Source organism: Homo sapiens, chromosome 18 (assembly GCF_000001405.40).
Source record: "Homo sapiens chromosome 18, GRCh38.p14 Primary Assembly".
Lineage (NCBI taxonomy): Eukaryota > Metazoa > Chordata > Mammalia > Primates > Hominidae > Homo > Homo sapiens.
Window position 1 is genome coordinate 41,894,805 of NC_000018.10, and position 14,815 is coordinate 41,909,619.

The following is a 14,815-nucleotide window of genomic DNA, read 5'->3' on the forward strand; positions in this document are numbered from 1 at the left end:
CCTTTCAATTGGGTATATTATAAGAAGTAATTAGAAGAAAAACGGAATATTGGGTCAAGTTGTATCACCTATCTGAATATGACAGAGAGTGGGGGCTTTTTCTCCCTATCAGTCTGTGGGAGACTTCCCTATTCATATTAATAAGGTGACCCTCTGCCTTGATTGATAGTTCTTAAGTAGTAATATGGTTGAGTTATCTCTGGGCACTACTTTAGCCCTTAATTTACTCAACATTTTTGCTGATGTCCTCCTCTGTCATCATATTCAGCAGTTTACAGGGAAATTTATACTTTATGATACATTGATATTATAGTCTGAGTAATCTAAATAACTTTCCACTTCATAATTTTCACTTACAGTGATTCATTCTCATAAGCAATGTTTCTAATACTTTCCCAAGACTATTCTATAGGTAGTAATGAAACCATCATTGCAAAATTATGACAGTAAGAGAAATCTGTCATAGCTATCTCCATCTTGCTTCTAATCTCTAAACTGTCCTTGTTAATTCCAGGGCATAGACCAACCTTACTTTGGGAGGAATTTAGTTTGTAGTTTAAACCTTAAAGCAAGGTTGATAGCCCTTCACAAATGCACCTCCTCCTTGTTTGGAGACTGAAACCACATTTGTAAACTAATGAGAGGCCACAAGATTAGGAGTATGAAAGGGGCCAGAATTCTGCTAAGATGTCGGTGTAATTAAACAATAACCAGGCATTGCTCCAGAGGTCACAAAATTTGTAACTTCCTCAATTATTCCTTAAGTTCTACAATAACATCAATATTGCAGAACCTAAGATTGGTCTTTTGAAATATTTTTCGGACTTTTGCATTTCTGGTGACCAACTGATTCCGCCTGTACCCAGGATCCATGACTCAACCATTCCTGTGGCCCCTACCCAGAGGCTGACTCAGTGAATAAGGACTGCTTTCCATACTCCTATGATTTCATCCTCATCCAATCAGCAGCACTCATTCCCTAGCCCCTTGTCCACAAAATTATCCTTAGAAATCCCAGCCTTCAAATTTTCAGGAAGGCCAATTTGAGTAATAAACTCCTTTTCTTCCACATGGCTAGCTTCTCGTTAGTTAAACTCTTTCTTCACAACAATATTGCAGTCTCAGTGAATTGGCTGTCTCTGTGCAGGGGGCAAGAAGAACCCATTGGGAGATTACAGTAAAAATATATATGCATGATGGTGAGGTGTATCAAGTAAGGATTGTAAAAACACTGTTATATGCATAGTTGACCTAAAGAGGAGAAGCTGAGGCCACATTAATGTAAGTAGAGAATTTATCTGGGCCAAGCTTAAGAATTGACTGAGGGAGCATGGATTCAAATTGCCGTGAGTATACTAATTTTGCCTCAGCTTCTCCCTTTTAGGTTGACACTATCATATGATCTAGGTCTGCCTTTCCTGTAAAACAGAGAAGTCAAGTATGTTAAGCCCAAGTTTTCTAGACCTCATTAATCTGAAGAAAATGTATCCATAAAATGTCTAATTCAGAACCCCTGTCAAGTAAAAGATTGAAAAACCATACCTACCTCTCTCATTTTCATATCCTTCCGTCTCTCTTCACTGATTATCTCACAGGTCCCACGCACAGCGAGTAGAGCATGCTGCAGGACCAAGAGTCTTGAAGAGAGCAAGATATGCAAGTGTCAAATCGTGCAATGTTAAAAATCATCCTTGGGGACCAAATTGAATCATCATTCTGGCCCAGACAAAGTCAGCACAGCACACCTCATCATTTCCCCTCAGGTGAACCCCCAACTCCCCATTATAGGAATGTCCATTTTACCCATTGATTGCTTGAGAATTTCAGCCCTAGAGCTAAGCTGTGAGTTCTACCTTTTCTGGTAGATCCAGTTATTCCCCACACAAAAGTACTCCTGAAGGTCTGGATGGTGACAGGAGTCTACATTGTTCAAGCAGAACACTTTTTGGAACTCTCCCTAGATTTGTTCTCTCGTTGCTGCTTAGCACCATAACATACATACATTTAGAAAGGAGAAATGGTTTTGTTGGATGATAACTGAACTGCATCTCTTTTTTTTTTTTTTTTGAGACGGAGTCTCGATTTGTTGCCCAGGCTGGAGTGCAGTGGCGCGATCTCGGCTCACTGCAAGCTCCGCCTCCCGGGTTCACACCATTCTCCTGCCTCAGCCTCATCTCTTAAGAGCCAATTAATTCCGGCTTCCAGCACTGCTTGTGCAGCACTCAACTACCATTTATAAGGCAACCCAAATGACCTCATCTTTCCTTGCTATACAAATATGACTGTGCAGTATCTAGGAACTTATTCCCCCTTCTCCGAATCTTCTGGAGGAGTGAAAAAGAAGAGCATTTCTAAGATAGAAAATGAAAAACTAAGTAGAGCATACCAGTCTCTTAGAATGTCTACTTCCAAAATTCATGTTGTTTAGAAAGATCCAGAAAACATTATCTAAGATTTTTAAGAAAAAGGTAGTTCCTCTCTATCTACAAAGATCCAAAGAAAGTGCAAAGACTAACAAGATATGATTGAAATCAATAATATTTTCATTATATCTAATATGAGTTTTGCTCATTACAGTTTACCATATAGTTTCATGTATGTCATTACTTTCTCAACCCACACAGAAGACATAATTTATCACTATTTTTCAGAGGTGAAAACAGAATCAGAGAAGTGAGATTCCCATGTTTATCCAGACATGTTGGTGGAGCCAAAATTAGAGGGCCTTCTCATTCTTAAACCAATGTGTTTCCATCGCACCTCAAACCTTTTTTCACAAAAGGTTTGCAGTGGTGTGAGGGGAAGTATGTATGACATTGCAGTATGTCAGAATTGGGAGAGGGAGTGGAAAGACATTTAAAAATTGAAAGAAGCAATTTTAAAATGAATGAAGTTGTTATTAAGGCAGTTTAGCATTGTTGTCATGCAGACTAATTCTGCAATCAGAATACCTGAATTAAAATCTCAGCTCTTTCACTTACTCTAAGTGTGCCCTAAGGCAATAAACCTTTCAAAAAGCCTCAATGTGATCATCTGTAAAATGGAGGTTATCAGAGTATCATTCCTTTCAAGGTTGTTACAGCGATAAAAATGAATTAACACATGTGAAGCATGTAGTATAGTAAAATACAATAAATACTTGAATTTCAAGTTGGAATACCAGCTAGAAATTTTAAAGTAGCTCAAAAGTGATTGATATGAATGCATAGATAGCAAATCTAAAGCCGTTCTTGAGAAGAGTCAAGGTATTTAGGGAATCCTCTTAACTCCTTGACTCCAAGAAGAGCCAGGGGCTCCCACAACCTCTCCTTTTGTGCCTTGCTAGAATAAGTTCTAAGTGGATGGAACATATATGTATTTATGGAAAATTTGTGTCTTGGTTAATACATCCTTAAGACTGTTGACTTTTAGAAGGCAAGAACTGAGTCTTCTTTAGATCATCTAAAACCTTCCTAAAGACCAATAGACTGCTCTGCACTAAATAAAATAATTTTAATCCCTTATTTATTGATGGAAAAAACATGAGGTATTTGGAGAGATTTGCCAACGGCAATTGATCTTGGAAAACAGCAATTAAACTTCATCAAGCAAAGTCAATGGCAGGCAGGGACCAAGGAAATAAGCACGGAGAATATGGGAAACTGAGGCAGCATATGCCTGGCATAGAAAATATCCATACAGGCACTTATTCTGTAATTTTACATTAAGCATTAATTTTATATTAAGTGTTATAGATGATCTTGTTGACACCTCTGAAATTTAGGGAGGTATTTTAATATATGATAACTCTGAGACTCAGATAAAATGGCTGACTTGGAAGCACATAGTTAATGAGTTAACACACAAAGGTAAAGCCAACACCCTGAATTTAAAAAAGAAAGAAAGAAAAAGTAAACAGTGCTTGGGGAAATGATCCCGTTTTAAATTTCTGTGTTTAAAGGCAATTATATTGACAATGATTTTCTGGCACTTTTCTCTAGCTATCAAGATAATAATACTTTTAGACTGCAGGTGAATTTTTATTTTTAATGGCGCTATTGTTGCTAAGATGTAACACTTGATGATTTTATGACATAAACCCTAAAAAAAAGAGCCCATAACCTGAAATATTTTTTTAAATTATATACATATATATAAACATATATACATATATTCTCATCTAATACCAGTTCGGCACAGCATTAACCTGGTAGAAATTAGATCAAGTAAAAAAAGAATGCTGTGAAAAACCCAGAAGTCCCTCAGTAGAGTAACTTGAAGAGCAAGGCGTCCTGGCTTCCCTGGGAGTCTTCCTTTCTTCTTGGTTCCCACAGACTTCTCTCATCTCTAAGCTATGCACCTCTCAGTGCTGCACCATTCAGCACTCGACAGAATCCCCCCATTCAGTGCTGTGTGAGAGGGCCTGTGCTGGTCTGAACTGATCTGCCCAGTTCTCCTAAAAATCCCTTAAGATCAGGTGCAATTACTTCTTGTGCTTACCTGAGAGCAGGTGCTTGCCAAATATTTACTGAGGAATGTATTTGGGCTAGGGAATTATAATGCAATTTAATAACTGTTTGAGGATAAATATGAAAAAAATCCATAAGAAGTACATGGAAAGAAAAGTTATTTCTGACTAGAGAAGTCAGACTAGACAACATAACATTTGTAGTGGGGCCATGATGGATGAGCCCATCAGGACAGAATTAGGATAGTTATAGCTAGATAAGCAGAGAGCTGGCTGGAAGCTCAATGGTAAAGTAGTCCAGCAATCCTTTTGGTACAGTAAAATCCTTCCGTAATTTGAAAAGTGGTTTCAAAAATTTCAATCACATAAAATGCCTAGGTGCATCATTGTAAAATTGATGAAATGACAAGTGTGGCATTTCATTTGCTGGTTCAATCTGGATCTATCCAGATCCCAGTTATGGTTTAGTGCCACCTGATGGTGGTTATCTGTTTCAGATTAATATTGATGGGGCCCATCAGGGCTTTAGGGCTGGCTGGGACTTCTAAGATTGCTGTAGCAATTCCAAGAATTGTTTAATTAGGCAGCACCTGCTTCATAGGCCTGGTCAGGAGAGATTGGGCCAGGAGAATACAGACCTGCTTCCCCAGATGCAGCGGCCTACTATTTCCCTACTTAACCTCACTCCCCTGCTCATATTCCAGTGAGCTCCTCCATTCCCCCCACTCCTGAGAATATAATAAATTTAGCCAGCTCCTTTTGAATAAGGGAATGGATAAAGGAGCCAGTTGTCAAGTATGTTATATGAGAATCCCTATTATCACGGGGCTCATTATCACAGGATTTTACTATATTTGACTCCCTCCAATGGACTGTAAGAAGTCAATCCATTGATGCTGTGCACCCTAGTTGCAAAAGCCCGTTCCATCCTTGGATACTTTTAATTGGTGGAAAGTCATGGCCCAGACACTACTCTATATTAATGTACATACATTAGCACTAGCTCTATGATCACACAGAAGGATGCTATGCCATTCAAATATTGGAAAATAGAAAGCACATATTTTCCAAGTTTTATCTTCTACAGGCTAAATTTCCTGAGTTTCCTTATTTGTCTGCCTTGTTCACTAATTGTGCCTTGGGTGGCAAGGGAAGTACCTGGAGCATGATGGGCACCCAGTAAAGATCTACTGAATGAGTAAGTAAATAAGTGAATGAATGATTCCAAATGTTTTTGTCCCATGATGAGCATGTCCTCATACATTTCTGTCCGTCTTCAAGTGTAGCTCCCAAAATAGAATGTAAAACTTCAGGTATTGCCTAAGAAGCACAAAGAACGAGACTGATCACTACTCTCATCTTGGATGCAAAACATCCATGAATGTAACCCAAAACTGATGTCTGTTTTTGAACAATCCTATTACTATGGATTCATATCAAGTTTATAGTCAGTTAAGAACCACCCGCCCCCACCGCCTGAGATTTTTATTCACAGATCTACTATTAAGCTACATCTCCCCCCAATTGAGTTTTCAGTCTGAAGTTCAAGACCTAACATTATTCCCAGTAAATTTTGTTTTTATTGGATTTGGGCCATTACTCCAGCATCTAAAGACCTTTTTGAGCCTTGATTCTGACCTCTGACATATTAGATATACAGCATAGCTTTGTGCTACTTACAATTTGATCAGCGTTCTTTCACTGTCCTCACACAAGTCTTCAATAAGTAGCTGGACAAGGTCCTTTATGGAGCCCTGAGACTTACTTCAAGAGACTTTTCTCCAGATTAATGGTCATTTATCTTGCAGTTGCATTATTGCCTGAGGCCACATGGGAAGTAACAAGAGAGAGAAAGAATATTTCATTAGAGCTTAGACAGACCTACTTTGTAACCTGAGCTTATCATTTACTAATTGTGTTCCTTCCAGCAAGAGATGTGTTTTGAACCAGACTGAGGAGTAAGGAGGCTATTCCAACAAATGCAAACAACAATAGTAGCAGCACAGAGTTGATAAACTAAGGCAGGCCCATGGGGCAGAAAAAATCAAGATATGGTGTGATGGTGCTTAGAGAAAAAGACAAACTACAAATATACATGTATTTGCTTTTATGTTTTTATAAAGGTTGCCTAGCCCCTTTCTTCATCTACTATCTGGAACTCATTAATGGAAGAAAATAACCATTTTAAGTGATAGCATAAAGTAATTTCTCTTAGAACAAGTATTTACATGCAATTTAACCTATCAAAAGAGGACTAGGAATCTGGGTTCCTCAGGAACTTGCTTTGTGACATTGGTTAGTTCATTTAATTAACCTCTTGGGGCTCCTCATCTATAAAATAAGGGAGTTGGACTAAGGTTCCTGACGTTTCTTCTTTGGCGAGAGAGTGTGGAGGGCAAGAGGAGTAGTCTATGGGACCTAAAAGCAATAAGTTACACTCTAGTTTATGCTGATGTTTGTTTTTCCTTCCCCTGATCTCATTGCTGTCAGGCCTAAGCTAGCTTAGAACTCCAAGAAATCTTTCTTCCATTTCACTTTCTGTCCTTGTTAATAGAAAATATAAGAGAAGAATATTGGCCAGAGCAGTACCCTACCAGTCATTGCAGTATTTAAGAAAAAAGCCATGAGCTGGTAAAAATTCCATTCACTATAATTTCCCCTATTAAACAATGTGGTAAATTGTTGTAAATATTATCTGATTCTGTCCTAAATAATATCTCTTTCAGGGATAGCTAATACTTGTGCTTCAGGTCATAAAAAGATCATGAGTTAGGATAATCAAAATTTGAATCATAGTTATATTTTCTTCCAAAAATACTATTATCCCTATTAGAATCATATGGCAAGCTAAGCTAGAGATAGAAATGATTTAGTTAGTTCCTAGAAGAAATGCATGTGCCAAATTAGGAACCTCAGTTGGACTGTTTGGGGAATATACTAGTCAAGATTCTCATGGTTGCCAGTGACAGAGACCCAGCTCAAAACAGATGAGTTATTTTATTATCTCTTTCTCTGCTCAACTCACATCTTTGCCTGTTTCTGCATGTTGGCCTCATTTTCTATGACTTCAGATAGTCTTTCTCCATGTAGTAAGGAGAGGAAGGAGCAAGGCTACCAAAAGTTACAGGCTTGAATCACCCCAGTTTTGCTATTCCAGACAAAAAAAGAACAGCATTTTTCCATACATAAAACCTAGGGAAGAACTCTGGCTGGTTTTAGATCATAAATGAATTATATGCCAGATACTATGTTTGATGAGACCTGATAACATGCCTAACCTAAAACTCAAAGACCGAGAGGCTATCTTTGGCAGACACAAAAGAACCACATGGAGTAGAAAAAGGTCAGTTCCTTGAAGGAAGGAACATATTCATAGCAGAAGGAAAAAGAGTAATAGCTGGGTAGGAAAAAAAGCCCAGTACAGGAAGCCACTGGGCCTGAAGATGACCATTTCTCATCGATGATCAAAATCCACTTCACTATACTTAGGAATCTTCTGGTCATCTTTGGTTTGCTTCCAACAATAGTAGCATGGATCAATGCTATGATCTGAATATTTGTGTCCCTAAAACTTCACATGTTAAACCTCATCCCCAGTGTGAGGGTAGTCAGAAGTAAGTCCTGAGACATGATTAGGTCATAAAGACAGACCCCTCATGGGTGGGATTAGTACCATTATAAAGGAGGTCCAACAGAGAGCTCTCATCCCTTCGGCCATATGGAAAACACAATGAGAAGAGGCTGACTATAAAACAGGGTGTGGGCTCTCACCATACATCAAATCTTCCAGCACCTTGCTCTTGGACCTTCCACCCTCCAGAATGCTAAAAAGTACATTTCTGTTCCATCCAGTCTATGGCATTCTGTTATAGCAGCCCCACTGAACTAAGACAGACAATTGGAACCAATAAGTGGGGGTATTGCTATAATAGATACTTAAAAAAGTAGAAGCAGCTTTGGAACTCAGTAGAGGCTGGAGAGTTTTGAGGTGCATGCTAGAAAAAGTCAATACTGACTTGAAGCGACTACTAAGAGCAATTCTGAGATCACACACACAAAAAAAGAGGAGAGCTGTAGAGAAGTTTCAATCTTTTTAGAGAATACCTAAGAATTCTCTAAACAGAGTGTTTAGAGATCCTAAACACACTTGGTAGAAATATAAAGGCCGTTCTGATGAAGTCTCAGACAAAAATAAGCAGCATGTTTTTAGATAATAGAGGAAAGCTCGTCTTTGTGAATTGCGTTTGTGTCCTAGTGTTTTGTGAGAGGTAAAACTTGCAAGGGATGAAACTGGATCTTTGGCTTAGGAAATATCTAAGCAAAGTGTTGAAGGAGTTGTCTGGTTCCTCATCACTATTTATAGTAAAATGAGAGAAGGCAGAAATGATTTAAAGATGGAATTGTTGAAGGAAAGGAAACAGGACTTAAAGATACGGAAAATTCTCAGCTTATCCATATTGAAATGAATGAGAAAGGCTGTTCCAGAGAAAACATGAAGAGCGTAGCCAAAGATCATCTGATAGGGTGAGCCAGCCACCTAAACAGAAGTCAGGAGCTCTCGTCAAAGACAACAGAAGAATAATCCCAAAGGCAACTGAGAAATAATCAGGGCTGTCCCTCCCATCACAGACCCAGAGTGCAAAAGCCCCAGCAAGCACAAGACCACCACAGAAATCCCTCCTTAGAGAAATGTGCAGAGAAATCACAGAGCAACCTACACCTGATTCCAGACTAGGCCAGCTATGGGCATGTGACATAGGCATGGAGTAACCATGAAGGTGAGACCACTGAAGAGAGCCACAACAAGGGTAGAGTCCAGGTACAGAGCCACCATAGGGGTGGAACCCCTGGGTGAACACCCCCACCCAGTGGGTCAGAAGGCCAGATCCCCCACCCCAGTACACTTAGAGGGAAGAACATCAAGCCAGAGGATTATTCTTAAACCTTAAGTTTCAATGTTATTTGCTCCATTAGGTTTCAGATTTGCTGAGGATTTGTTAACTCTTTTTTCTTTCCTATTTCTTCCCTTGGAAATGGCAATGTCTAATCTATGTTTGTCCCCGTCTTTGTATTTTGGAAGCACATACATGTCTGATTTCACAGGTTCACAGCTAAAAAGCAATTTGTCTCAAGATGAATCATACCTTGAGTCTCACACATATCTGATTTAGATGATATTTACATGAAACTTTGGACTTCGGATCTGAGTTGATGCTGGAACAATTTAAGACTTTTTCAGCTCTTTATATGCAGGAAGGACATGAATTTGGGAGGGCCAAAGTTGGAATGCTATGATCCAAATGTTCATGTCCCCCAAAATTCGTATGTTAAAATCTAATCCCCAATATGAGGGTATTTGAAGGTGGGGCCTGTGGGAGGTGATTAGGTCATAAAGACTGAGCTCTCATAAATAAGATTAGTGCCTTTATAAAAGAGGCCCCAGAGAAATCACTTGCTCTTTCCACCATATGAGGACATGATGAGAAGAGGCCATCTGTGAAACAGGAGGCAGGCCCTCCCTAGATATCAAATCTACTAGCACATTGATCTTAGACTTCTTAGCCTTCAGAACTATAAGAGATAAATTTCTGTTGTTTATAAGCTATTTAGTCTATGGTATTCTGTTATAGCAGCACAAACACTCTAAAATATCCAAATCTTCAGACTTCCTTCTGGCATTGGTTAATGCCTCCAAGTTCAGGGCCACTGTATGAGGGAGGACAACTAACAGCAGAGAGCAATTGAACCCTTACTCTTAGGCCAGTACATGGTGTCTGACAGTGCCTGCCATCAGTGGAGCTCTGTCTCACTCTGACCATGCCAGCTCTGGAAGCAGATTGCCTTTTGGACTTGTGGCTCTTTGCCTCACCCTACCATGAAGGGTTACCTCTTTCCTTCATAGTGCTTAGGAACTGTTCATGCTCCTTCAATTCAGCCAGACTCTAACCCCTTTGCTGTTTCTACCTCCAAATGATCCTCTAGCTTCTTATGCATACTTACTGATGTATTTACTTTTTTGTGTTCTTATGTGTGGCCCTCCCCAAATTCCAACTCCAGCACTCTACCAATAATTTGCCACCATTTATTTCCGATACAACTTTAACGTGTTTGGTGCTGTTGAATGCAGGAAGCTAACTAGGTTTCTGGTCATACATTAATTTATGTGGTAAAGGTTAATTTTTTTAAAACACAAACATAAATAGCCTAAATGGTAGCTTCACAAATGAGAGGGAGGTATCACTGACACTGCTTGTCAAAACTTGCATTCTTACCATCAGAATTTGATTCCATTTCTTTATCAAATTCATGCTTTGTTTCCTATGGAATGACAATCTTCAGTTGGAATTAATTTATCAATCCTCTTCCTGAGGTAGGATTTCATAAAAAGATTTGGAAAAGAGCATACAAGCTCCAAGTGACCAAGGAGAAGACCAAGAGACGCCATCCTGAAGGCCAGAGGCATCACAGAGGGCTCCCATGTGTGGTCTTGTACTTCCCCAGCACATGCCTTTCTGTTTCTGATTTTTCTTTACTCCTATGACCCAATCTGCTGTTTTCTTGTTGTCCTATTGGGATTTCTTGATCCCACCCTAATCTTCCTTAGGACAGATGTCCCTTTTATATCAGATCTAGTGGTACTTCACAACGTGTGCTTACAGCAGCTTAGGCTAAACAGGAGAAAGCTGAGGCTACTGAAAGGCCAGATTAGATGAGCCCTGAAAGAGATCAGGATCAGCACAGTGGTGACAAGCTAATGGGGTTGACAAAGCTGGACCTGGAAGATTGCCAGCATCTTACCTCCCAGAAAAAGTTACAGTTTGCTGGGTAGTTCTATATATTGATAATAGTCTCAGGGCCAGAGAAATGAGGGACACAATTAGGCAAGATTGCAGTTCCTCTAGACTTGCACTGGAATGTATTGAATTATGGAATTTTTGTTTGTTTGCCTGCTTGCCTGATTGTTTGCTGATCTTTTTTCTTAAGATTTTTCCTACATTATTCTCAACACTACAGTTGTGGATGATGTTCACAGTTGCTATCAACCTTTGCATCATTTGAAAATGTCCAGATGAGTTGGAGGCAGCAATGAACAACCAGGCAGCCAACTCTCATAAAGATGAATCAAACTATGGTGATCTGATAAGCAGACTTGTGAGATCCATTTTTTCACCCAAAAGGGTAAGAGTTATTATATCTTCCAAAATTGTCAGTGTGATAAAGTAACAAATTGGAAGGCACAATTCATGCTTCCCCCAAATGCACTAACTGGGTAAATAGAGAACCATGGCTCATACTAGCAACCATAAATTTAAAGTTAGTATTTCAGGTCTATATCTAAAGAACGACAGAACATCATCTCTCCTGATTCATCCGGCAAGAATGCATCATCCTTTTTCTCGATCTAATCAGAAACACTTCTGCCATCTTCGTTTTTCTTTATAAGTCAAAAAGGCGCAGAAGAGATTTAGGCCTTCTCTCCTACACCCCTCCTGACTTCTTGTGGGGGAGGAAGTGGGCTGCATAACAGCAAAACCTCAGATTCTATTCTGACCACACCACAGGTACTCTTATTTTCACCGCAGTCAATTTCAAATACTGTACACAAGTGCCATCTAGTGGTTAGCAATAAATTAACATGTCACTTTAAGAAAGAAGAAAAGACTTAAAGCCTTTCATAAATAACCAAACATGTTTTTAACTTTTTTATTAAAACAGGATGATTTTTGTGTACTAGCATTTTTTCTGAGGAAATTATTTCTTCCATCTGTTTCTCTTTGGTCAGGATAGAAGTATCTTGGCTCATCTTCTGTCAGTGTGCTTCAAACCATAAAATGTAGGCTGGGGTTTATGCACAAGGAAACACATTGAGAAAGAAAGCCTTCTTTATGGATAGTCACTACTCTGTGAAATAAAATTGAGTTGGTTCTCTTGCTTCTATCCTCTATTTTAGCAAACATTCTAGGGTTGCATGATGGCTGAAATAAAAGAGAAACGTGAACATTGGGGATGGAGAAAACCACAGACATCACTTTCAGTGGTTCTCGGTTACATTCGGAATGATAGCAGAATCTCCCATCCCAAAATCAAAGTCTCTTCAGTCGAACCCAACCTCACCTTCTTCTTCTGTGCCCTAGTATAATACAAGTATTATCGGCCTGGCGCAGTGGCTCACGCCTGTAATCCCAGCACAGTGGGAGGCCGAGGCAGGCAGATCATGAGGTCAGGAGATCGAGACCATCCTGGCTAACACGGTGAAACCCCGTCTCTACTAAAAATACAAAAAATTAGCAGAGCGTGGTGGCGGGCGCCTGTAGTCCCAGCTACTCGGGAGGCTGAAGCAGGAGAATGGCGTGAACCCGGGAGGTGGAGCTTGCAGTGAGCCGAGATCTCCCCACTACACTCCAGCCTGGGCTACAGAGCGAGACTCCATCTCAAAAAAAAAAAAAAAAAAAGTATTATCTACACATTTGCATATTCACTGACTCCTGAATATCAGCCTCTCTTCATTTTCTTATCATTGCCCCTTCTTCCCAGTCTGTAATATTCTTCCTTTCCCTCCTCACTTATTCAACCTTATTCATCCTTCAAGTTCTATATTACTGTAACAGGATGTCAAAATGGAACTATTTTAGTCTTAGTTTTCATTGAGACTTGTATTAATTAGTTTTTGCTGCATAATAAATCACCCCAAAACATAGTAGCTTTAAACTACACGCTTTTATTATAACTCACAAGCCTGTACGGTAGCTGGGTAGTTTCAGTCTCCAGTCTTGGCTAGGCTTACTGATGCCTTAGCTGGGGATCAGATGGGCAGCTCTGCTGTTCTTGGTCCAGCTCTCCCATATGTATGTCCCATATGTTAAGCTGGTTGTAGACTGGTCTAAGATAGCCACAGCTGGGACAACTGCGCTCTTCTGGCAGTCTCCTGGCCTCCAGCGTACTAGACTGGGATTGTTCACATGGTGGTGCAAGGTATCCAGAGAAAGCAAAACCATACAAGACTTCTTGAGGCCTAAGCTTGGAACTAGCACTCCACTGCAATCAGATGACCAAAGCAAATCATAAGATCAGTTCTGATTATGATGAAATAAACTCCACCTTCTGGGCTAGGCACGGTGGTTCATGCCTGTAATTCCAGCATTTTGGGAGGCCAAGGCAGGTGGATCGCTTGAGCTTAGGAGTTTGAGACCAGCCTGGGCAACTTGGTGAAATCCTGTCTCTACTAAAAATTTAAAAAATTAGCCAGGCATGGTGGTGCGTGCCTGCGGTCCCAGCTACTCATGAGGCTGAGGCTAGAGGATTGCTTGAGCCTGGGAGGTGGAGGTTGCAGTGAGCTGAAATTACACCACTGCACTCCATGCTGGGCTACAATGAGACTGTCTCAATAAATAAACAAATAAATAAATAAAATTAAAAACAAACCCTCCACCTTCTGATGGGATGAAGTAAAAGTCTCATTGCACAGCATTTGGATAAAAGGATAAGCTTTAAAAGAAAGTGGGGAGGACCATTTTAGCAATCTACCTCAAGATTGAATAAACGCTACATTTCACAGTGAGGTGAGAGTTCCTCCACAGAACCGTAAAGGAGCTGACTGAAACTGGATTTGTAGTTATTAAACCATCACTTTCATCAGGAGCTGGAGATTAGGTGAGGTGCCGTGCTTTGAATATAGCTAACACTCCCTCACCAATAAACACACCAAAAAGAGTAAGGCATGCCTGCCCTTAAACTGAAGTCTAGAAAGAGGTAATGCAGTGAGACCTCTTAAAGAGCTTCATATGTAGGCAGGGCACAGTGTTTCACGCTTGTAATCCCAGCACTTTGGGAGACCGAGGCGGGCAGATCACGAAGTCAGGAGACTGAGACCATCCTGGCTAACATGGTGAAACCCCATCTCTACTAAAAATACAAGAAATTAGCCGGGCGTGGTCATGGGTGCCTGTAATCCCAGCTACTCAGGAGGCTGAGGCAGGAGAATCGCTTGAACCTGTGAGGCAGAGGTTTCAGTGAACTGAGACTGTGCCACTGCACTCCAGCCCAGGTGACAGAGCGAGACTCCGTGTCAAAAAAAAAGAAAAGAAAAGAAAAGAAAAAAAAGCTGCATATGTGTCTCCTAAAATCTGAAGGATGCCATGAACTGTTGTCTGACTCACCCTGGATAAAAACAGGTGGATAAGCACTACAGTTTGTGAAGTTACTATACTCCCGCCAATGACAGGTCACAAATTCAAGGCTGCCTGTGGAATCGATGAGAACCAAGAGCTTTAGAGAGATAGTGTGGGTTTGTCTTGGATCCTCATCAAGAGGGCAATGAAAAGCTGAGCACAGATAAGGACTCAAGCAAAAGGAAGCAAAACGTGTACC

General features: G+C 40.2%; 1 long non-coding RNA gene across 1 annotated transcript in view; it reads right to left on the bottom strand.

Moving 5' to 3' along the window:
* The window catches only part of LOC105372085 (uncharacterized), a 34,754-nt gene extending 21,295 nt beyond the window's left edge, over positions 1–13,459 (bottom strand). Inside the window, exons 1-4 of the long non-coding RNA XR_935411.2 lie at positions 13,181–13,459; positions 6,128–6,267; positions 5,606–5,767; positions 1,547–1,637 (exon numbers count right to left, since the gene is read on the bottom strand). This is a non-coding gene — a long non-coding RNA (uncharacterized LOC105372085). The remainder of the gene's footprint in view (positions 1–1,546; positions 1,638–5,605; positions 5,768–6,127; positions 6,268–13,180) is intronic.
* Between the last annotated feature and the right edge of the window lie 1,356 nt (positions 13,460–14,815).